General features: G+C 41.0%; 1 protein-coding gene across 5 annotated transcripts, besides 2 other annotated features; it reads left to right on the top strand.

Moving 5' to 3' along the window:
* Positions 1-310: 310 nt before the first annotated feature.
* Positions 311-5,866, top strand: XAGE3 (X antigen family member 3). 5 transcript variants are annotated; one of them, NM_133179.3, is made up of 5 exons: positions 311-388; positions 1,253-1,341; positions 1,856-1,961; positions 3,494-3,619; positions 5,754-5,866. In NM_133179.3, exons 2-5 carry the CDS (start codon positions 1,261-1,263, stop codon positions 5,774-5,776), a joined length of 336 nt encoding a protein of 111 aa, NP_573440.1. In that variant the 5' UTR covers positions 311-388; positions 1,253-1,260; the 3' UTR covers positions 5,777-5,866. The 5 variants fall into 5 exon arrangements, with proteins under 5 accessions (NP_573440.1, XP_011529070.1, XP_011529071.1 ...); XM_011530768.3 differs by having other exon boundaries at positions 1,239-1,341; XM_011530769.3 differs by having other exon boundaries at positions 311-508.
* Positions 1,107-2,304: an enhancer, noted in NCBI's record as "MED14-independent group 3 enhancer chrX:52895119-52896318 (GRCh37/hg19 assembly coordinates)". NCBI's record gives its function as "activates an origin of replication core promoter dependent on BRD2, BRD4, P300/CBP and CDK7 cofactors, and independent of MED14, by STARR-seq in HCT116 cells {active_cell/tissue: HCT116}" and the evidence as "EXISTENCE:reporter gene assay evidence [ECO:0000049][PMID:35650434]".
* Positions 15,189-15,258: an enhancer, noted in NCBI's record as "active region_29644". NCBI's record gives its function as "activates an Ori minimal core promoter by ATAC-STARR-seq in GM12878 lymphoblastoid cells {active_cell/tissue: GM12878}" and the evidence as "EXISTENCE:reporter gene assay evidence [ECO:0000049][PMID:35858748]".

Genomic DNA, 22,476 nt, shown 5'->3' with positions numbered 1-22,476 from the left:
CATGGCCTTGCTGTCGTGGGGGTCCCAGACAGGGGAGGAAGGAGGGCCATAGAGGGGAGGAGGACCTAGTGAACATGGAGTGAGTTTTGAAGGGGGAAACTATTTGTGGTATTTGAGTCCCGGAGGCATATGAAACCGCCCACAGAAGACACATTCCGAAGTCTTCAGTGGGAACCTGGGAGAGGGTAGAGAACTGCGCGGCGCGGCATGGGGTGGGGCTAGGAGAGGCGCCACAGCCCACTAGGCAGGCACCGACCTCACTGCGCATGTCCACTGGGTGTCTTCCCCTCGGCCCCTTTTCCCACGTGGTGAATGCCCTGGAGTTGTGAGGGTGTGAGGGTCGCGTTCCTGCTGTCTGGACTTTTTCTGTCCCACTGAGACGCAGCTGGTAGGTCCGCAGGCCAGTCCTCCCAAGGGTTGAAGTGTGAGTGCGTGTGAGGAGGAGCCAGTGGCTGTCCGGAGCGTGGGAAAGCATAGCCCGTGGCCTCAGAGGCCGAAGGGTCTCAAGGTGATCGTCCTTCTCCTCGTGAGGTGGCACTGCCATGGGCCTTGTTGTGGTGAAGTCAGAATGAGGGAAGAAGGTGGGCCGCGTAGTTGAGAGGGGTCAGGTGAAAATGGGGCGAGTGCTGGGGGTGCTGGGGCAGGTATCCGAGTCCCTGGAACCCTCGACCGAGGACGGATTCCAGACTCCTCCGTGTCGACCCGGGAAGGAGCAGGGTGGGCATTAAGGAAGGGAACTGGGAACGCTGCGGGTTGGTGACTGTGGCCCTGAGGTCTGTAAAGCGCCTGGCAGAGGTGTACAGTGAGGAGGGCCCAGAGCTGTGTGGCAACTTCTCAACTCCACTGTGGAGGTTTGAATGGGCGGGGCTCTGCATTCCAACAAAACTTGATTTTAGGGGGGAAATGGGCCCAGCAAATGGGTGTGTGACAAAAGCCGTGGTCACTGCAGTTTTAATTCTCTGGCTGTATTTTCCCAAATGTCTCCACGGAGGAGAGTTCAGTTGTGAAACCAAACCTCATCGGAAATATCCTGTCTTTTGCCAGGAGCCTTAAGAAATTGCTCAGCTAGCTTGACCAACTTAATGGCTTCCCAAGCATTCAGAAGGCACACATACTTACACTTGCCCTGAGACTTAGTTCGAAAGTATTTACAAACTTTTAAAAAATGACAAGTTAATATTTGGTCATGGAAGTGGTCAAATATAGCTGTCTTTTCAAGTGCATTTACCAATTCACAGTATTCTGTTTGCAGTGTGAAATATGATTTGGCGAGGAAGATCAACATATAGGCCTAGGCCGAGGAGAAGTGTACCACCTCCTGAGCTGATTGGGCCTATGCTGGTGAGTGCCTTAACCTTTGATGTTTTCTATTAGCAGAAAGTTATTTTTGTAACTTGTTGTTGTTGCAAAACTATGTTTTGTAATTGTTGTTGAACCAGTATAGATATACCAATAAAGGTCTCCCATGCTGAGAAAAATAATCATGGCATCTCATGAAGGAAAGACTAGTCCAAGAGGATTAAGTTCTTCTGTTGTCTGGATGGATGATCTTGTGTTCCCCAGATTTTGCCCATGATTTCCTTCTCATGCTTATTTGCAAAAGATTACACACATTCATCCCAGCTTAGATTAAAACAGCTTCCAAAGCCCTTGAGGGCAACTGTCTTAGAGTAACCTCTCTGTGGGAAGAGTAACTTTATGAAAAATAAGTATGTGGAATCGTGTTGGAGAAATGTCTTTAGACTTATGATCAGAAATATCTATGTATTCTGTATATTTGTATTATTGAAATGTATCGATAACAAAACTTTTTATCTGCACACACACACACACACACACACACCCCTGGTTCCAGGAGCCCGGTGATGAGGAGCCTCAGCAAGAGGAACCACCAACTGAAAGTCGGGATCCTGCACCTGGTCAGGAGAGAGAAGAAGATCAGGGTGCAGCTGAGACTCAAGGTGCTGGGAAGGGAAAGAAAGAATGTCTATGGGGAGGGGAGGAGGCCTATGTGTGCATCATGCCTTATGCCATGACCAGTAACAGGAGGAAAGAAAACATTAGGAAAGGATCTCAAACATTTGCTGAGAGTTGGCTGGAAAAGTGAAGAGTATAGTTTGCAGCTTCATGGATATAATGAATCTTCTCTTACCTTTGAAATATATTTCGTATGCTTGAAAATACAGTCCTTGCTAAATCAGATGAAACTGTTTAATTTGATGTACAAAAATATACATTATTTCACTAGTTTACTTTGATCTTCTTAGAATGTTGTTGTCTGATCTTCTCAGCCAAGGTGTCCACAGTATTGTATGCACCCTTTAATAGCATGTAGAATGCCAAGTCACCCTACCTGAATACACTGAATAAAGCCCATTTGCATAAGGATGTTAGCCCCATTTTATAAATAAGAAAACTGAGGCTCTGAAATGGAGGCTTACCAAGAACAGTTGAGTCATGGAGAAGGAATTCATATTTCATTCCAAGGTTTGTGTTCTCCCTACCATTCACATTAGAAAACGTGAATGATTTTGCTTGAAATGTTAATACTCAAATGTGTCTGTACTGTAAGTACTTCAGTATTGGCTCAGGACAAAACAAAGTTCAGTGAAGCAGGATAGCAACGCCAGAAAAGAGCTCAATGAATGACAGCCACTCTTTCCTTTGCTTTGTATTTTTGAAAGTATGTTTGGTAAAATCTGGATAATTCAGGACATTGGCATACAGGTAGCTATATTAGTATGATTTTAAGGGGCTTTTAAAGAGTTGTTTATATACTTTTATAATTAGAAAACTCGAAGTACGATAAGATTATCATGAAACAGAAATTATTTCCTCAACAGAGAGCATTTTGAAGTTAAACATTGACAGAATTTGGGTCATGGGTTACTTTAGCAATTCACTGTTAAGGGGTTTCCAGAATATGACTGTCAACAATGCCCATTAATTTTTTTTTCACTCAAGTTTCTGTACTCTTGTGGAAGACAGCGATTTTGCTGTTATATTCGGTATTTTTTTGTGAATGGGATTCATTTATGGAAAGTTACATATAGGGCCTTTGGACCTAAGTTTGTTTAATTTTAACCAAAAAATTTTCAAGTTACCTCAACAGGTGATGAGTGTCAGGACTGTAAGATTTGTCATAGGCTCACCAATATATTCATCTAATCTTTCAGAAAATTACATTTAAGTTATTATTAAAATGCTATCCATTGGGCAGTCTTTAGGTTTCCTAGATAGCTGACACTCACTGTTTATAGTACACAATGGTAAAGTATAGGAAATGTAAGTGTGGTCTGATTTTTCCTCAGATTGTCATTTAAGATAAGATTTCATAGTACAGGAAAACAAAGGTGGGACATCTTTGCATCACATTTATTACCACAGTCGCCTGCAGCCTTTTATTTCATAACATTGAGGAAAAGAATATTATCATTTCCTTCTTTATCTTTCTTGTTTGCCTGCTTCAATCGACAACCTTTGTATTTTTTAGTGCCTGACCTGGAAGCTGATCTCCAGGAGCTGTCTCAGTCAAAGACTGGGGGTGAATGTGGAAATGGTCCTGATGACCAGGGGAAGATTCTGCCAAAATCAGAACAATTTAAAATGCCAGAAGGAGGTATGCTATCCATTATTATGTGCTTTCTGTTTTCCACAATATTATACTTTTGATAATAAAAGAGAACATTACTATCCCTTTAAAATCAGAGTTCAAATGCAGACTTTTTTTGAAAGGTTGTTCAGACCCCAATTGCCTGACTGTAAGACTTAAACACTATCAGCTACAGACACAAATTGGGTCAAACCCACATTGAATCATCAAATATGAAAGCATATTCTTACTTCTGATTATACCCAACAACTAACAATTTTCAGATATTTTTCAATTTCTGCTTTTAACAAATACATAATGCATTTGTAATACCACTTTGTGTGAAATATCCTGAGCACCTTAAGCAGATTCTAATAACAGCTCTAACATTATTTGTGAGATTCTGGATGAATTCCATAAATTCTACAACCATCTTTTGCTGTTATTGAAAATAGTAAATGCATATCAGATGTATTAACATCTGTTTCAAAATTGATTTCTGTATCCTCATGTTCTGTTGGATAGAATACAAAGATATGATTTGTTTTTCATAACAATCAGTTTCGCTCCAGTTATAATATCTGAGTTGAGATTTCATGGTTCCTAAGAAAATGAGTGGGCAACTTGCTTCATGAAAGTATCTTTTCCACATATTTTCCAAATTGATGACTGTTAATCAGAAGAGCTTCTGAATTTATAGGAAGCATTCCATATTTATGGAAGAAATTGCCTAAATGGTTTTACTCTATACTGCTGAACCATTCCATTAGACTATTTACATGAAAGATAGTTTTCAATTATTTCCAGGAGCCCATTGAGCAATCCTCAATTGTATTCTTAGGAAGATAGTCTTAAGTGAGTATCTTGTTAAAATAGATAGAAAATTACACGAGAAAGGAAAATATTAATGAAAATTATAAAGAGCAATAGAATAAATCTAAGGGAAAAGGAAAGAGGTCCTTAATAAGAGACAGATATGAGTCATTAGTAAAAGGAAATGTAATCCAAAAGTAATACATTTAAAAGATTGTTCTTTTGAAAAATAGCTATGAATAGAGTAATAGTTTACACACTCTTGAAGAAAATGGAAAAAGCTCAACATGGAATATGAACAAGACCCTAACAGATACTGAATATATGGTATAATCGAAAGTGAATACATTCTTGAACTCTAGTATTTTCGAAGTATGAATGAAATGATTGATATGCTAGGAACACATACATTAGTTAATTTATTCCAGTAATACCTGAACATCTAAGCATCACAAAGAGTGTGGGAAAACTTCTGAAAGTTCCCACTTATCCCTCAAAAACACTTAACTTTTAGAAACAATTATTTGGCTTTTCCAGATGTCTTACTGTCCTTTTCTATTTTCCTCTCCCTCCATTTCTTTTTTTGCCCGACTATTCATGATATATGCCTCTTTCTCATTTTGATGTCAAAAATAATAGTGATAGATTAAACCAAATGTGACCATGTAATTTATTTTACCAATGGGAATACTTTCAAGTGTAAAAAGAGGGACTCTTCATATTGACATCAGGATGATAGGTGAAAATCTTGGACAAATGGTTACCGTACCTTAAAGACCACAGAAGGATGAACTAGCCCCAAGCAATATTTTTGGACTTCTGTGCAAAGAGAAAAAACAAATGCAGTACTGACCTTTCAATTCACTGCACTTTTGCAGTCCCTAATGTGACATAAATTGTTTCCCAGGAGCTTGTTGAACATCCAGACTATTATTTCAAGGCAAAACATTGCATTACATGATACATTGTTTGTAAATTCCTTTTGTTTCTTAGGTTTGTTGTGTGTTGGTCATATTTTTATTAAAACAATACACAATGTTTGCTTTTCACTTTGAGCCACCTTTTAATAGGTTCACTTGATTTAAAGTGCTCTGAAGTTAGACAGTTTTTGGTTTCCTTGAACTACAGAAGGCAGGATGTTTTAAAAATGTTGCTAATGTATATACTTGGAAGCCTATCTTCAAAGTCTCTACAGAGGTCTAACTGAATGTTAGCCATCAGGTTACTCTTAGGCTTCTGGTTTAATCCACGGTATAAAACCAAAACTTTGGTGTCCTTTGCCTACCTTTAATGTCATCTGAATACAGTTCTGCTACTAATGTTCCCTCCTGTTATATTTCTATTATAGGTGACAGGCAACCACAGGTTTAAATGAAGACAAGCTGAAACAACACAAAACTGTTTTTATCTAAGATATTTGACTTAAAAATATCGAAATAAACTTTTGCAGCTTTCTCCAAAGAAGTCTTGCACATTTTTTGTTCATTTTATTCCCAAATATTTGGTACTATTGAAAATGGTGGCCAGGTGTGGTGGCTCAAGCCTGTAATCCCAGCACTTTGGGATGCGGAGACAGGAGGATTTCTTGAGCTCAGGAAACTGACACCAGCTTGGGCAACATAGTGAGACCCCCTCACTGCAAAATAAATGAATGACTGCATGAATGCATGAATGTATGCATGTATATATGTAGCCTTAGTCCCAGCTACTCCTGAGGCTATGTTGAGAGGATCCCTTGAACTCAGGAGGTCGAGGATGTAGGTAGTTATGTTCAGGCCACTGCAACTCCAGCCTGGGTGACAGAGTGAGACTCTGTTTAAAAAAAGAAAAGGAAAAGTATCATTTTTGAAATTTTCTATTCTGATTACACTGGTACACACACTTGTGATATTATGAAATATATAAATATATATTTGGTCCTCTACCCTGTATACTGGCATACAACTCTTAATATTTTTAGAATCTCCACAAAGTGATGTCTTTTTGTATGCTAATGAGTTGGACTGATGCCTAGCAGCCCCTAGGTAGCTTTGGGATGGGGGATTAGTGGGCTGGGACTTTCAGCCCCACCCCAAACCTTCAGGGAAGGGAGAAGAGTTGAAGGTTAAGTTGATCACCAATGGCCAGCCAGTGGTTTAATCGATCACACCTGCATAATGGAAACCTCCATGAAAACCGAAAAGGACAGGGTTCAGAGAGCTTCTGGATAGCTGCACACATGGAGGATAGCATTTCCACAGAGGGCATGGATGCTCCCTGCCCCTTAACTCATTCCTTACCCTATGCATCTCTTTAACTGGATCCTTTCTAATATCCTGTTTAAATCAACCCATAAATGTATATGTTTCACTGAGTCGTGAGATGCTTTAGTAAATTAATTGAACTCGAGTAGGAGTCATGGGAAATTCAATTTATAGCTGGTGTGTCAGAAACACAGTAAAACAACCTAGGGCTTGAAGCAATTGGCAGGGTCCTCTTGTGGGACTGAGCCCTCAATCTGTGCAATCTGATGCTATCTCCAGGTAGATCCTATTGGAGTTGAATGGGAGGATACCCAGCTCGCGTATGCTGCAAAACTGATTGCTTGCTTGGTGTGTTGAGAAAAGCCCCCACATATTTGGTCACAGAAGTCTTTGATGTTACTGGTAGTAGGGCAAGAACAGAGAAAACACTTTTTTCTTCCATTCAACCAACAGGTATCATGTTTGTATATTGTTTTTCTATGCAGTAAACTTGCTAAATATCCTCATTCCAAATTTATCTCTAGATCCTTTCGGATTTTCAACATACACAATCATATCGTCTTTGAATAACAACAGCTTGTTTCTGACATTTCAAACACTGTACTTTTTCCTTTTTCCTATTTCACAACATCAGACGGACTCACCCAATACAATGCTGATTAGAACCAGTAATTGTGGCCATCCTTCTCTTATGCGTACTAGGCACTGGAAATTTTTTGTTTTATATTTTTTGTTATACTTTAAGTTTTAAGGTACATGTGCACAATGTGCAGGTTAGTTACATATGTACACATGTGCCATGTTGGTGTGCTGCACCCATTAACTCGTCATTTAACATTAGGTATATCTTCTAATGCTATCCCTCCCCACTCCCCCCACCCCACAACAGGCCCTGGTGTGTGATGTTCCCCTTCCTGTTTCCATGTGTTCTCACTGTTCAATTCCCACCTATGAGTGACAACATGTGGTGTTTGGTTTTTTGTCCTTGTGATAGTTTGCTGAGAATGATGGTTTCCAGCTTCATCCATGTCCCTATAAAGGACATGAACTCATCATTTTTTATGGCTGCTTAGTATTCCATAGTGTATATGTGCCACATTTTCTTTTTTTTATTATTATTATACTTTAAGTTTTAGGGTACATGTGCACAATGTGCAGGTAAGTTACATATGTATACATGTGCCATGCTGGTGTGCTGCACCCATTAACTTGTCATATAGCATTAGGTATATCTCCTAATGCTAACCCTCCCCACTCCCCCCACCCCACAACAGTCCCCAGAGTGCGATGTTCCCCTTCCTGTGTCCATGTGTTCTCATCGTTCAATTCCCATCTATGAGTGAGAACATGCAGTGTTTGGTATTTTGTCCTTGCGATAGCTTACTGAGAATGATGATTTCTAATTTCATCCATGTCCCTACAAAGGACGTGAGCTCATCATTTTTTATGGCTGCATAGTATTCCATGGTGTATATGTGCCACATTTTCTTAATCCAGGCTATTATTGTTGGATTGGTTGGTGGGCAAAGGATATGAACAGACACTTCTCAAAATTTGGGTTGGTTCCAAGTCTTTGCTATTGTGAATAGTGCCGCAAGAAACATACATGTGCATGTGTCTTTATAGCAGCATGATTTATAATCCTTTGGGTATATACCCAGTAATGGGATGGCTGAGTCAAATGGTATTTCTAGTTCTAGATCCCTGAGGAATCACCACACTCACTTCCACAATGGTTGAACTAGTTTCCAGTCCCACCAACAGTGTAAAAGTGTTCCTATTTCTCCACATCCTCTCCAGCACCTGTTGTTTCCTGACTTTTTAATGATCGCCATTCTAACTGGTGTGAGATGGTATCTCATTGTGGTTTTGATTTGCATTTCTCTGATGGCCAGTGATGATGAGCATTTTTTCATGTGTCTTTTGGCTGCCTAAGTGTCTTCTTTTGAGAAGTGTCTGTTCATATCCTTTGCCCACTTTTTGATGGGGTTGTTTTTTTCTTGTAAATTTGATGGAGTTCATTGTAGATTCTGGATATTAGCCCTTTGTCAGATGAGTAGATTGCAAAAATTTTCTCCCATTCTGTAGGCTGCCTGTTCACTCTGATGGTAGTTTCTTTTGCTGTGCAGAAGCTCTTGAGTTTAATTAGATCCCATTTGTCAATTTTGGCTTTTGTTGCCATTGCTTTTAGTGTTTTAGACATGAAGTCCTTGCCCATGCCTATGTCCTGAATGGTATTGCCTAGGTTTTCTTCCAGAGTTTTTATGTTTTCAGGTCTAACATTTAAGTCTTTAATCCAGCTTGAATTAATTTTTGTATAAGGTGGAAGGAAGGGTTCCAGTTTCAGCTTTCTGCATATGGCTAGCCAGTTTTCCAAGCACCATTTATTAAATAGGGAATCCTTTCCCCATTGCTTGTTTTTGTCAGGTTTGTCAAAGATCAGATGGTTATAGATATGCGGCATTATTTCTGAGGGCTCTGTTCTGTTCCCTTGATCTATAGCTCTGTTTTGGTACCAGTACCATGCTGTTTTGGTTACTGTATCCTTGTAGTATAGTTTGAAGTCAGGTAGCTTGATGTCTCTAGCTTTGTTCTTTTGGCTTAGGATTGACTTGGCGATGTGGGCTCTTTTTTGGTTCCATATGAACTTTAAAGTAGTTTTTTCCAATTCTGTGAAGAAAGTCATTGGTAGCTTGATGGGGATGGCATTGAATCTATAAATTACCTTGGGCAGTATGGCCATTTTCACAATATTGATTGTTCCTACCCATGAGTGTGGAGTGTTCTTCCATTTGTTTGTATCCTCTTTTATTTCATTGAGCAGTGGTTTGTAGTTCTCCTTGAAGAGGTCCTTCATGTCCCTTGTAAGTTGGATTCCTAGGTATTTTATTCTCTTCAAAGCAATTGTGAATGGGAGTTCACTCATGATTTGGCTCTCTGTTTGTCTGTTATTGGTGTATAAGAATGGGAATTTTTTGATAAATATCTTAAGTTTGCTGTGCTTTTTAAAATAGATCTATTTTATTAGAATAGGAAGTTCCATTCTATTTTCCATTTGTTAAGACTATTTATCTTGAATATATATTGACTTTCATGAAGCACTTGTAATGCATCCACGTAGATGATTACAGGACTTTTTCCTTTATTAATCTGTTAACATTGTGAATTACATTGGTAAGTTGCTATGTTTAAACCAACGTTGCATTCCTAGGGGGAAACATTTGGTCATGACACATTATCCTTTTTGAATAATCTATGTATTACTAATTTGTTTAGGATTTGTATGTGTGTTCTCAGAAGCGACATTAGCCTATATTTTTATTTTATGTAGAGATGCTCCTCAAGTTATCATAGAATTATGTCCTAATAAATCGATCATATATTGAAAATTTTGTAAGTTGAAAATGCATTCAGTACACCTAACTTAGCAAACATCATAGCTTAGCTTAGGCTCCCTTAAACGTGCCCAGCATGGTTACATTAGCCTACGGTTGTGCAAAATCATCTAACACAAAGTCTATTTTATCATAACTTGGAATATCTCATGTAATTTATTGAATACTGTCCTGGAAGTGAAAAATATAATGGTTATATGGCTATTCGAAGTACTGTTTCCACTGAACACATTTCTTTTATCTGCCATCATAAAGCCAAATAATTTTAAGTGGAAGCATCATAAGTTGGGGCCATCTGTATTCTCTTTGTTGGCCTTTGGTATCTAGGTTACACTAGCTTCATGAAATGAATTGGGATATAAGTCCTCTTTCTTTCTTTCTTTCTTTCTTTTTTTTTTTTTTTTTTGAGACGGAGTCTAGCTCTGTCGCCCAGGCTGGAATGCAGTGGTGCAATCTCGGCTCACTGCAAGATCCGCCTCCTGGGTATAAGTCCTCTTTCTATTCTCTAGAACTGAAATCTCTGCAAGACTGAATAACTTAGGGATAGGCTTTGTCATGTTCTTTTGTTTCTAGATTGAATCTCCTTTTTACCTTTGGACCTTACTTAAAAGAAAGACAGAAGGGGCAGCTTTAGGTTCCTATGCCTTTGAACTTTATAAGGTGGCCGTCTTTCCTCCAATGATCCCTCTAATGATGCTGTCACTCTGAAAACTACCTGCTCCTTTTTTTTTGTACTGATATTAACCCCTGTACACAGAAAGTTAAAAGTTGCCATTCTATTAATGTGCTTACATAAGTTTTTTAAGAGATGGGTTCTTGCTATGTTGCCCAGGCTGATCTTGAACTCCTGGGCTCAAGTGATCCTCCCTCCTTGGCCTCCAAACGTCCTGGGATAACAGGTGAGAGCCACCATGCCGGGCCTGCCTACATGATTTTGATCTGTGGTATGTGGTTGTGAATGGGTTGACTAACCAAAGGTGTTTATAGTTAGGACAATAGCTCCATTTATTGAGTTAAGAAAAACAGGAATAATAATAACTCACATTTAAAGAGTATGTGTTATCCATTAGCCACTTCTCTGAGCTATGTTTCATTGTTTCTGACCTCATTTAATCCTTTAAAAAGGTGAGTCAGAGTTTTCGTAAACTTTGCAATAAATGACTCTAGTAAGAAGCAGATATGGGGATTCAAGTTCTAAGTTCACAGTCTGCATTTTCTCGAAGCAAATGCTTCTGACAGCATTGAATGTAGAACTGGTGTTGTATATATTGACTTCAGTGGTAATCTCATTTTTCATATAAATCTGTGGTAATATATAAAATATATATTTTTTCATAGTTCAAGATAAAAGGCTTTATTCTTTTCTTGAAGGAGGGGTTTCCCAAAATATGGCACATAGAGCTAACAGGCGTTCCGAGATGAAACCATTGGTACAAAAACATTTAAAAAAGTAATGATAACATACCTATTTTACTGTGCTACAGAACAATATAACTGGAATACTAAAGTCATTTGGAATAGTTTGTGGGAACACGGAGAGAAGAACTGATGCCTCAATCCCTATGGAAAATGCCACAACATCTCCTGCAAACACATTTGACCTTTCTTTAAAAGTTATTAAGAGCCAGGGAGGGAGAAGCACCAAACCTCATTTTTTTTTTAGAAAAGCACACACATTTATTTAATATAAGTTTTACATAGGGAAAGGAAAACACAAAGAAACAGGAAAACTTGTGTATATTTATTCTAGGTTTGATGGAGAAGTGGATAGTGATGGAAAAGTATGTTGGATAAAAACGCATGATCTAATGGTAGTTAATTGGGGAGAACTCAGTTATGCCTGTTTGTTCAGATTGCTGTCAGTGATCTTGTGTTTTTGGAGACATACAGATGTCCATTTCCTCTGGGTATAGAGACAGCACCTGTCAAATGAGGGTTTTATGACCTGCTTCAGGGGAGAAGGGTTGGGGGAAGGTGAGAGCTATCTTCCTGCTTCTGCTGTTTTCTAAATAGCCCCATATTCTGGGGTAGTGTGTCCTGAACCCCATCCTCAAAAGTTACCACTGGTTTTATATCTCTGTATGATATGTTCCAAGCTTTTCAACATGACATACAAAATTTCCTCTCTTTCCCATCCTCCTATGATCTTTCTAGTTTCAATCACCACCGCTTTCCACCTTTCATTTTACATTCTATTGTCAAGGACTGCTCATACTTCTCATCCACACACAATGCTATTTTATTCCTCCCTGTCTGTATATATATTGTCTTCTCTGCCCGGAATGTGCTTACCCCTCTTTTTTTACTTGAGTAACTCCCATTTACTCTCCCTTATTCTGCTCAGGTGTTACCTTCTCTATGAAGCCTTCTTTAATGTACTTAAACTGCTAAGCTTCCTCTTCTACATTTCTAAAAGAAATTGTGCTTCCCTCTTTAAATCATTTTTTTTAAATTTTACTTTAAGTTCTGGGATACATGTGCAGAATGTGCAGATTTGTTATGTAGGTGTACATGTGCCATGTGGTTTGCTACACCTACCAACCTGTCATCTAGGTTTTAAGCTCTGCATGCATTAGGTATTTGTCCTAATGCTCTCCCTCTCCTTGCCCCCGACCCCCCCACCCAGTGTGTGTTGTTCCCCCTCCCTGTGTCCATGTGTTCTCATCATTCAACTCCCACTTATGAGTGAGAGAATGTTCTCTGTTCCTGTATTAGTTTGCTGAGGATGATGGCTTCCAGCTTCATCCATGTCCCTGCAAAGGACACGATCTCATTCTTTTTTATGGCTGCATAGTATTTCATACAAGCCTCATTTTTCATCTACATAAAAACTCCATCAGTCTGACAGTCACCACATCTCATTCAGAAGCCCCTGAAGCTTCCTGGATCCAGCCTTATATCCCTCTTACTAAACATAATACAGGAATTTCAACTCTGGGCTCCATTTGTATCCTCATACCCACAAAGAGAATTCTGCAGCAAAGGCCCTACTCAGAATCCATACTGCTTAAGGAGGGGAAGGAGATTATAATCAGCAATTATTTCTCCCTATTACAGAGATTATAAAGTATTTTCTTATCCAAAAGGACTGAAAAGCCAGGATTCAAATAAAAAGTGAGACTAAGTGTAGGGGATCCCATTTGCCTAGGCCATAGAGCTGGGATGAAAGAATTAAGGCCTAGGTCAAAGACAGGGGAAAGTAACCAGGGCAACTTGCTGATGAGAGATGACTTGGGTCCTAGCTACACTGTCTCTTTATAGGCTATGACATGAAATAACCATGGGTTTCTATTCCGCCTCTCACGCGCTGGCCTTGAGATGGTGGGCAAGATACTTATATCCTATGGGACGGTTTCCCCATTTCTAAAGTAGAAATTAGAATATTTACACTAAATACTTGCTATGAAGAATAAATGAAATAATATAGGAAGCAGGCATGACATTGCAGACAAATTTGGTTTACTAGTTACATTTCTGTTTTTTCTTCAAAATTTATTTTTTTCATTCAATTTACCTTTACAACTACATCTATAGTAAGTGATAACTGCTTTTGAAATGCAAGTAAAAATACCAAGTTATCTTTAAAAATGCATTTGACTTCCAAAACTTATTTGATTTAAATAAATATGTTAATTAATTGTGTCAGACATGGAATGAATTCTAAAGTCTGTTTGTAAATACCCAACGGTGACAAGGCCAATCCTAAGTCAGTGGTATGTGCTAAAAACTGTGCTTCTTGCTCCGTGTGATGCCAGGAGGAATTAGTCAATGTTCTGGCCAGGCAACACTACACACAATTCAGTACAATAGTGTGTCAATTGCTCAAGCAGTTCCTAAACAGCCCTGTTGTGGCTAACAGGGCTACAAGGTTCACCAGTATAGTTGTTAGTTTACCTTGTCACATATCCATAGATTTAGCCGGTAAGAAGAAAATGAGCCCAAATGGATCCAAGTGGTTGATTGCTTGCGTAGACAGCAAAAGCAAGATCAGCATTGTGTCAGCACTGTGTCCCTAGTCTTACAGTATGACACTGAATTGGAGGTACTCTGTGACAGCACAGATGGTGGGTCTCTCTGCTTGTGAGGAGCCCACAGTCATATCCTGTAGCCAAGGTTGAAACTACACCGAATACTGAACCCAAGATCACACCTGACACAGCTGCGACTATGGAACAGCAGGGGCGACCCAGCTCCTGAACATCCCAGGCACAACACCTGGGGATGTATCCATGCTTTTGAATTGGAGGAACTGGTGTCAATGACTACCGTGAACTGACTGCCTTCTGACAGTTCCCTTAAGCCAAAGATGCAAATGAATTGTTTGGACTGGATAAGAACCCCAGAGGGAAAGGTCACGCAGTGGGAGGCCACATTGGGAGCCTTGGCCAGCTCCTGCCTAACTAATGTATGTCCTGCTGGGGGTACCCTAACAAGGGTATAAACTCTTAGAGTCCACGGGTATCACTTGTGCCCTCTGGGATTGTACTTGCATGTGCGCCCTGACTATCCTGACCCTGCCTGAGCCCTGGAAGGCATTTACATCAGCCTCAGTTTCCTGGCCAGTATCATACCAAGCCTGAAATGGAGGCTTGGGCTGGACAAAAAAGGTTAATACAGAATCTTAGTTAGGAAGTCACCTGCCTTTGTCAGATAGACCTTCATAATTAATAGGATTTGTATAAGATGGCTATGATGGGAAATCTGGTGTGTCAACTTGGCTCAGTCACGATCGAGACAAAATTGTTCACTTTGTCCAGGGTAGGTGTCTCTCTGAGGGTGTTTTTCAGCTGAGACTAACAGTTAAATAAACAGACACTGGGTAAACTTAATTGCCCTCCACAATGTGGGTGGGCCTCATCCGGTCACTTGAAGGCTTTCAGAGAAGAAGACTGAAGTTCTCCTCAAGATGAAGAAATTCTGCCTCTACGCTGCCCTTAAATTTGAGAGATCACATCACCTCTGCCATGGGACTCCAGCCTGACATCCTGCTCTGCAAGGTTTGTACTTCCAGCCCCCACATTTGCATGATCCACTTCCTCAAAATCAATTTCTCTCTGTCTCTCTCTGCGTGCACACACACACACACACACACACACACACACACACACAGAGGAACCTTAACCAATAGGCTGCATACATCTGGGACCCTTAAAGGGCATAACTGAGATCAGTACTGCAGGTTGGTCTCACTCTGCTGCAGCTGCATGGCTCCTAAGGCAGAGGCCTGTGGCATTCCCCTCCCACCCTCTGCAGACTGCCATCCATGTGGCTCATCACTGTGACTCAGGGTTTGGTCATCCAACCATGTAGAGATCACTACCATTCCACAAGTGTTCCCTGCCCTCCTTCTGTCTGTGAGGTCCTCTGTCCCATCCTGAGGACACAGAGATCTACTGGGTATGTTTCCAGCTTTCCAGGAGAGACCACAGAGCCTGGTGAGGGAAATACACCTGCAAAGAGAACTTCAGTGCAGTAACAGCAACGGGCATAGCCGGTGTGTTCACCAACTAATGAGAGATCACACTACCAACATCTCCCACTTGATTTTCCGCATCAACTAACAGCTTATCATGGAAATTATCCCTTTGGTAGGTAAGTTGGATTCCCCTCATTGTTTCCCCTGGGGCATGCGGAGTTACAAAGCAAATTGATACTGGTATGTTGTGTCAGAGTGCAATCCAAGAATGGAATGCTCTGTAGTGATGTGATTGCCAAAGCAGTCAATAAGTCTTTGTAAGTTCTCAGATGAAGCAACATTACAAGCATCTCTCAGTTTACAAGGAGTGACATGTATGGAAAATCCAGTTTATTTAAGACTCTAGAAAAAGTCAATTGCCTTCCCTGTAACCCTCAGTCCCCAAATGCCAGTAGCCCCTGCCAATCACTCCAGCAACCAAAGCTGCCCTCAGAATGTCCTAAATGTCCCAAAATGTGCAATGATTTTCTTGCTATAAATTACAAGTTTAGGATTGAAATTACCCTCAGTCTTCTTATTTACATAAAAAGAATAGGAATGTTGTGGTCAGTACAGAGGAAATAGCTCTCTAGTGTGGAAAAGGACACGTTTCCTAGGAGGGGTTAAGGCACCTTCCTCCTCTGTCTTGCTTTCTGTGATAGGAAAGTTTTTCAGGACCAAGCGAGGTGGCTCAGCCCTCTAATCCCAGCATGTTGGGACGTCGAGGCACAAGTATTGCTTGAGCCCAGGAGTTTGCGATCAGCCTGCGGAACATAGGGATACCTCGTCTTTACAAAAACAAACAAACAAACAAACAAACAAAAAAACAACCCCAGATGTGGTGGAGTGTGCATGTAGTCCCAGCTACGTGGGAGGCTGAGATGGGAGGATGGCTTGAGCCTGGGTGGTGAAGGCTACGGTGAGCCATGATTTCCCCACTGCACTCCAGGCTGAGCAACAATGAGACCCTGTCTGAAATAAGACAAAAAGAAAAGAAAGTATTTCAGAGCCATCTGGGGTGTGTGGTGAAGCTTCATTTCATAGGTCAACCACTGCCATGGGACACTGATGCTCAGGATGGTTCTGTGGTAGTCATGGCTCTGGGATCCTGGGACAGATGTCCTTCTCCTTGGTGAGGACAGCCCTCTCTAGGCTGGGACACAGGAGGAAGGGGCCAGGCTAGGTTGTCGGGCTGCCAGGGACAGCTGTCTGCTGTGGGATCACAGACGAGATCAGGAGAAGGACAGCTTAAGGGAGGAGAGGGGAGACGAACTCCTCAGGTGAGGGTGTGGAGTCTGTTAGTGAAGGGGACATTGGCCCTACATCCTGACATTGCTCTAGGTTCCCGTGGAGGGACACGAAGAAAGAAACCAAGGCTGGTGGGAGGGGGACAATAGCTTGCATCACCTCCCATCTAATGTGTTCAATGGTCCCTGAGAAAAGCCTATGCCCTTTTGTGATCTAAAAGGTCGTTTCCTGGCACCCCTCCATCCACTACCCATGAGGATAAGAGATTTGAGATAAACTGAGTCCTTCAGGGAGAAAGGCCAGTAGGAGTTGCAAGGTCTTCTCATAAGACTCATCGTCTTACCCTTGTGGTGACTTTCACACTGTGTTCATCATGTCTTCTGTTCCCGTGTACTCTGAGGTCGCTCTTCTAAACGTCCTGTCTGTGCTGGGAAGAGTGGGTATATTGCACACAGTCTTGCTACCTAAGGGATTTAATAAGGTTTCTGAAAGTTCCCTAGGCTAGGCAGTAAATTCCCAGATCCTAGGGCACCATTGTGGCCGCACTACATGAGATTCATTGGGTGTGAATCCTGGAGTCTGCATTTTTAAAAGATTCTGGGTTCCAACTTTCATGGAAACTTGTTTGAGGACTACTAGAGCAGGGAAGTAGTCTTTCCCAGCCACACAGCTTTCTCCTTTGTGAATGTATAAAAGGGATAGGTTTGGAGTGTTCTCTGATGTACAAACTCAAGACCTTCAGGTTACGGGGCTGACACTGACATGCTGCCTGGTATGGTAATGACACACTCAGGGCACCTTCTCCAAATGATACCCAGACCAATCCTTTCAAGCCTCCGTCTCTAAATGATTTCTGAAGAAATCAAATTTCCATTCATTGTACAGTCCCATGCTGTAAAATTATAAATATTTTGCAGTAGCTTTTGGGTCTTGCCCTTGATTGCACAAATATGTAGCACAGTAGATGTTTTCATGATGCCTCTGACCCATGCTCCACTGCTTACTGCTGGGTGACATTGAGAAAGTTACTTAACATCTCTGTGCCTCCTTTCTCCATTAGTTCTTTGGAAATAGTACTTGTAAAGTCATCTACTTCTTGCAGGCAGTTTAGAGCACTGACTGTGTAAACAAGTACAGTTGTCAAGACAGTTCCTTGCATATAGTAAGTTTCCAATTAATTCTAGCAGTGACATTTTTGCTGTGAATATTGTTGCTCTTCCCACATTTTCCTGGAGCATGTTCCAGAGATACAAAGTCAAGACTACTTTGACACCTTGGCTGATCTTTGGGTTATCTCTTCAGCTCTTCAGGGACTCAAAGACTGAGTCTGCGGGGCTTGGGAGAGGGCATAGTTTTTTTTTTTTAGCATAATGAATATTCAGCTCTCCTTAAAGGGTATTGTGGAAACTAAATGAAATGGTGGGATTTAGTCATCATGAACTTCTAGGAAAAATTTACATTTCTCTAGGCAATTAGACCTCTAGTGACCTCTTCATGTGATTTGTATAATGCTTTGAAAAGTAAGTAGTCACTGGATAATGATAGGACATAGGTATATAAACTTAAAAACAGTTTATGAATTTTTTATTTCATAGTCTGTGCTTTTTGTATCCTGTCTTTGTCTAACATGATGTCAGACATCCTCATACATTTTCTTCTACAAGTGTTGTAACATTAGCTTTTACATTTAGTTCTATGATGCATTTTTTTAAAAAAATTAGAAATAGAGCCTCCCTATGTTGACCAGGCTGTTCTTGAACTCCTGGTCTCAAGCAATCCTCTCATCTCAGCCTCCCAAAGTGCTGGGATTACAGGCGTGAGCCACCTCGCCTGACCATGCCTGGCCAATTTAAGACTTTTCTTCCTTTCTGATGCGAGTATTGAATGGTATACATTTCCCTCTATGCTTTAGTTTCATCTTGCAAAGTTTGATATGTTGCATTTTTATTTTAAAATTTTCTCTGTGAGGTCCGGTTCTGAAGAGGAACTGCTCCAGTCTGCAGCTCCCAGTGTGACCGACGCAGAAGACGGGTGCTTTCTGCATTTCCATGGTTCATCTTATTGGGACTGGTTGGACTGTGGGTGCAGCCCACAGAGGGCGAGCTGAAGCAGGGCGGGGCGTCGCCTCACATGAGAAGTGCAAGGGATCAAGGGATTTCCCTTTCCTAGCCAAGAGAAGATGTGACAGACTGTACCGGGAATATTGGGGCACCGCCACCTAAATACTGTGCTTTTCCAATGGTTGTAGCAAATGGCACACCAGGAAATTATATCCCGTACCTGGATCAGCAGGTCCCATGCCCACAGAGCCTTGCTCACTGCTAGCACAGCAGTCCGAGATCGAATTGCGAGGCTGCAGCCTGGCTGGGGGAGGGGCATCTGCCATTGCTAAGGCTTGAGTAGGTAAACGAAGCGAAGCTTGAACTGGGTGGGACCCACTGCAGCTCAACGAGGCCTGTCTGCCTCTGTAGACTTAACCTCTGGGGGCAGGGCATAGCTGAATAAAAGGCAGCAGAAACTTCTGCAAACTTAAACGTCTTTAAACATCCCTGTTGGACAGCTCTGAAGAGAGCAGTGGTTCTCCCAGCAAGGTGTTTGAGCTCTGAGAATGGACAGACTGCCTCCTCAAGTGAGTCCCTGACCTCCGTGTAGACTAACTGGGAGACACTTCCTAGTAGGGGCCAACTGACATCTCATACAGATGGGTGCCCCTCTGAGACAAAGCTTCCAGAGGAAGGATCAGGCAGCAATATTTGCTATTCTGCAAAATTTGCTGTTCTGCAGCCTCTGCTGGTGATACCCAGGCAAACAGGATCTGGAGTGCACCTCCAGCAAACTCCAACAGACCTGAGGCTGAGGGATCTGACTGTTAGAAGGAAAACTAACAAACAGAAAGGAATAGCATCAACATTAACAAAAAGGACATCCACACCAAAACCCCATCTGTGGGTCACCATCATCAAAGACCAAAGGTAGATAAAACCACAAATATGGGGAGAAACCGGAGTAGAGAAGCTGAAAATTCTAAAAACCAGAATACCTCTTCTCCTCCAAAGGACTGCAGCTCCTCACCAGCAACAGAATAAAGCTGGACGGAGAATGACTTTGACGAGTTGACAGAAGTAGGGTTCAGAAGATTGGTAATAACAAACTTCTCCAAGTTAAAGGAGGATGTTTGAACCCATTGCAAGGAAGCTAAAAACCTTTGAAAAGATTAGATGAATGGCTAACTAGAATAAACACTGTACAGAAGACCTTAAATGACCTGATGGAGCTGAAAACCATGGCACAAGAACTACGTGACACATGCACAAGCTTCAGTAGCCGATTCGATCAAGTGGAAGAAAGGGTAATGGTGATTGAAGATCAAATTAATGAAATGAAGCAAGAAGAGAAGTTTAGAGAAAAAAGAGTAAAAAGAAACAAACAAAGCCTCCAAGAAATATGGGACTATGTGAAAAGACCAAATCTACGTCTGATTGGTGTACCTGAAAGTGACGGGGAGAATGGAACCAAGCTGGAAAACACTCTTCAGGATATTTTCCAGGAAAACTTCCCCAACCTAGCAAGGCAGGCCAGCATTCAAATTCAGGAAATACAGAGAACACCACAATGATACTCCTCGAGAAGAGCAACCCCAAGACACATAATTGTCAGATTCACCGAGGTTGAAATGAAGGAAAAAATGTTAAGGGCACCCAGAGAGAAAGGTCAGGTTACCCACAAAGGCAAGCCCATTAGACTAACAGTGGATATCTCAGCAGAAACGCTGCAAGTCAGAAGAGAGTGGGGGCCAATATTCAACATTCTTAAAGAAAAGAATTTTCAACCCAGGATTTCATATCCAGCCAAACTAAGCTTCATAAGTGAAGGAGAAATAAAATCCTTTGCAGACAAGCAAATGCTGAGAGATTTTGTCACCACCAGGCCTGCCTTACAAGAGCTCCTGAAGGAAGCACTAAACATGGAAAGGAACAACTGGTAACAGCCACTGCAAAAACATGCCAATTTGTAAAGACCATCAATGCTAGGAAGAAACTGCATTAACTAACAGGCAAAATAACCAGCTAACATCATAATGACAGGATCAAATTCACACATAACAATATTAACCTTAAATGTAAATGGGCTAAATGCCCCAATTAAAAGACAGAGACTGGCAAATTGGATAAAGAGTCAAGACCCATTGCTGTGCTGTATTCAGGAGACCCATCTCACGTGCAGAGACACACACATAGGCTCAAAATAAAGGGATGGAGGAAGATCTACCAAGCAAATGGAAAGCAAAAAAACAAAAAAACAAAACAAAACAAACAACAAACAAACAAACAAAAAACAGGGGTTGCAATCCTAGTCTCTGATAAAACAGACTTTAAACCAACACAGATCAAAAGAGATAAAGAAGGCTATTACATAATGGTAAAGGGATCAATTCAACAAGAAGAGCTAACTATCCTAAATATACATGCATCCAATACAGGAGCACCCAGATTCATAAAGCAAGCCCTTAGAGACCTGCAAAGACACTTAGACTCCCACACAATGATAATGGAAGACTTTAACACCCCACTGTCAACATTAGACAGATCAACGAGACAGAAGGTTAACAAGGATATCCAGGAACTGAACTCAGCTCTGCAACAAGCAGACCTAATAGACATCTACAGAACTCTTCACCCCAAATCAACAGAATGTACATTCTTCTCAGCACCACATCGCACTTATTCCAAAATTGACCACATAGGTGGAAGTGAAGCACTCCTCAGCAAATGCAAAAGAACAGAAATGATAACAAACTGTCTGTCAGACCACAGTGCAATGAAATTAGAACTCAGGATTATGAAACTCACTCAAAACCACACAACTACATGGAAACTGAACAACTTACTCCTGAATGACTACGGGGTAAATAACGAAATGAAGGCAGAAATAAAGATGTTCTTTGAAACCAATGAGAACAAAGACACAACATACCAGAATCTCTGGGACACATTTAAAGCAGTGTGTAGAGGGAAAAGTACAGCACTAAATGCCCACAAGTGAAAGCAGAAAAGATCTAAAATTGACACCCTAACATCACAATTAAAAGAACTAGAGAAGCAAGAGCAAACACATTCAAAAGCTAGCCGAAGGCAAGAAATAACAAGATCAAAGCAGAACTGAAGGAGATAGAGACGCAAAAAACCCTTCAAAAAATCTGTGAATCCAGGAGCTGGTTTTTTTTTTAAAGATCAACAAAATCGATAGACTGCTAGCAAGACTAATAAAGAAGAAAAGAGAGAAGAATCAAATAGACGCAATAAAAAATGATAAAGGGGATATCACCACCAATCCCACAGAAATACAAACTACCATCAGAGAATACTATAAACACCTCTATGCTTATTTGCATAGAAAATCTAGAAGAAACGGATAAATTCCTGGACACATACACCCTCCCAAGACTAAACCAGGAAGAAGTTGAATCTCTGAATAGACCAATAACAGACTCTGAAATTGAGGCAATAATTAATAGCTTACCAACCAAGAAAAGTTCAGGACCAGATGGATTCACAGCTGAATTCTACCAGAGGTACAAGGAGGAGCTGGTACCATTCCTTCTGAAACTACTCTAATCAATAGAAAAAGAGAGAATCCTCCCTAACTCATTTTATGAGTCCAGCATCATCCTGATAACAAAGCCTGGCAGAGACACAACAAAAAAAGAGAATTTTAGACCAATATCCCTGA

The sequence above is a fragment of the Homo sapiens genome, chromosome X (assembly GCF_000001405.40).
Source record: "Homo sapiens chromosome X, GRCh38.p14 Primary Assembly".
NCBI lineage: Eukaryota > Metazoa > Chordata > Mammalia > Primates > Hominidae > Homo > Homo sapiens.
This window is presented reverse-complemented; position numbering and strand designations above follow the sequence as displayed.

Coding starts and splice junctions, on each gene's coding strand:
- XAGE3 (NM_133179.3), top strand. CDS start 1,261: ATGATTTGGCGAGGAAGATCAACATATAGGCCTAGGCCGAGGAGAAGT. Junction 1,962..3,493: donor GGGTGCAGCTGAGACTCAAG/GTGCTGGGAAGG, acceptor TGTATTTTTTAG/TGCCTGACCTGGAAGCTGAT. Junction 3,620..5,753: donor ATTTAAAATGCCAGAAGGAG/GTATGCTATCCA, acceptor TTTCTATTATAG/GTGACAGGCAACCACAGGTT.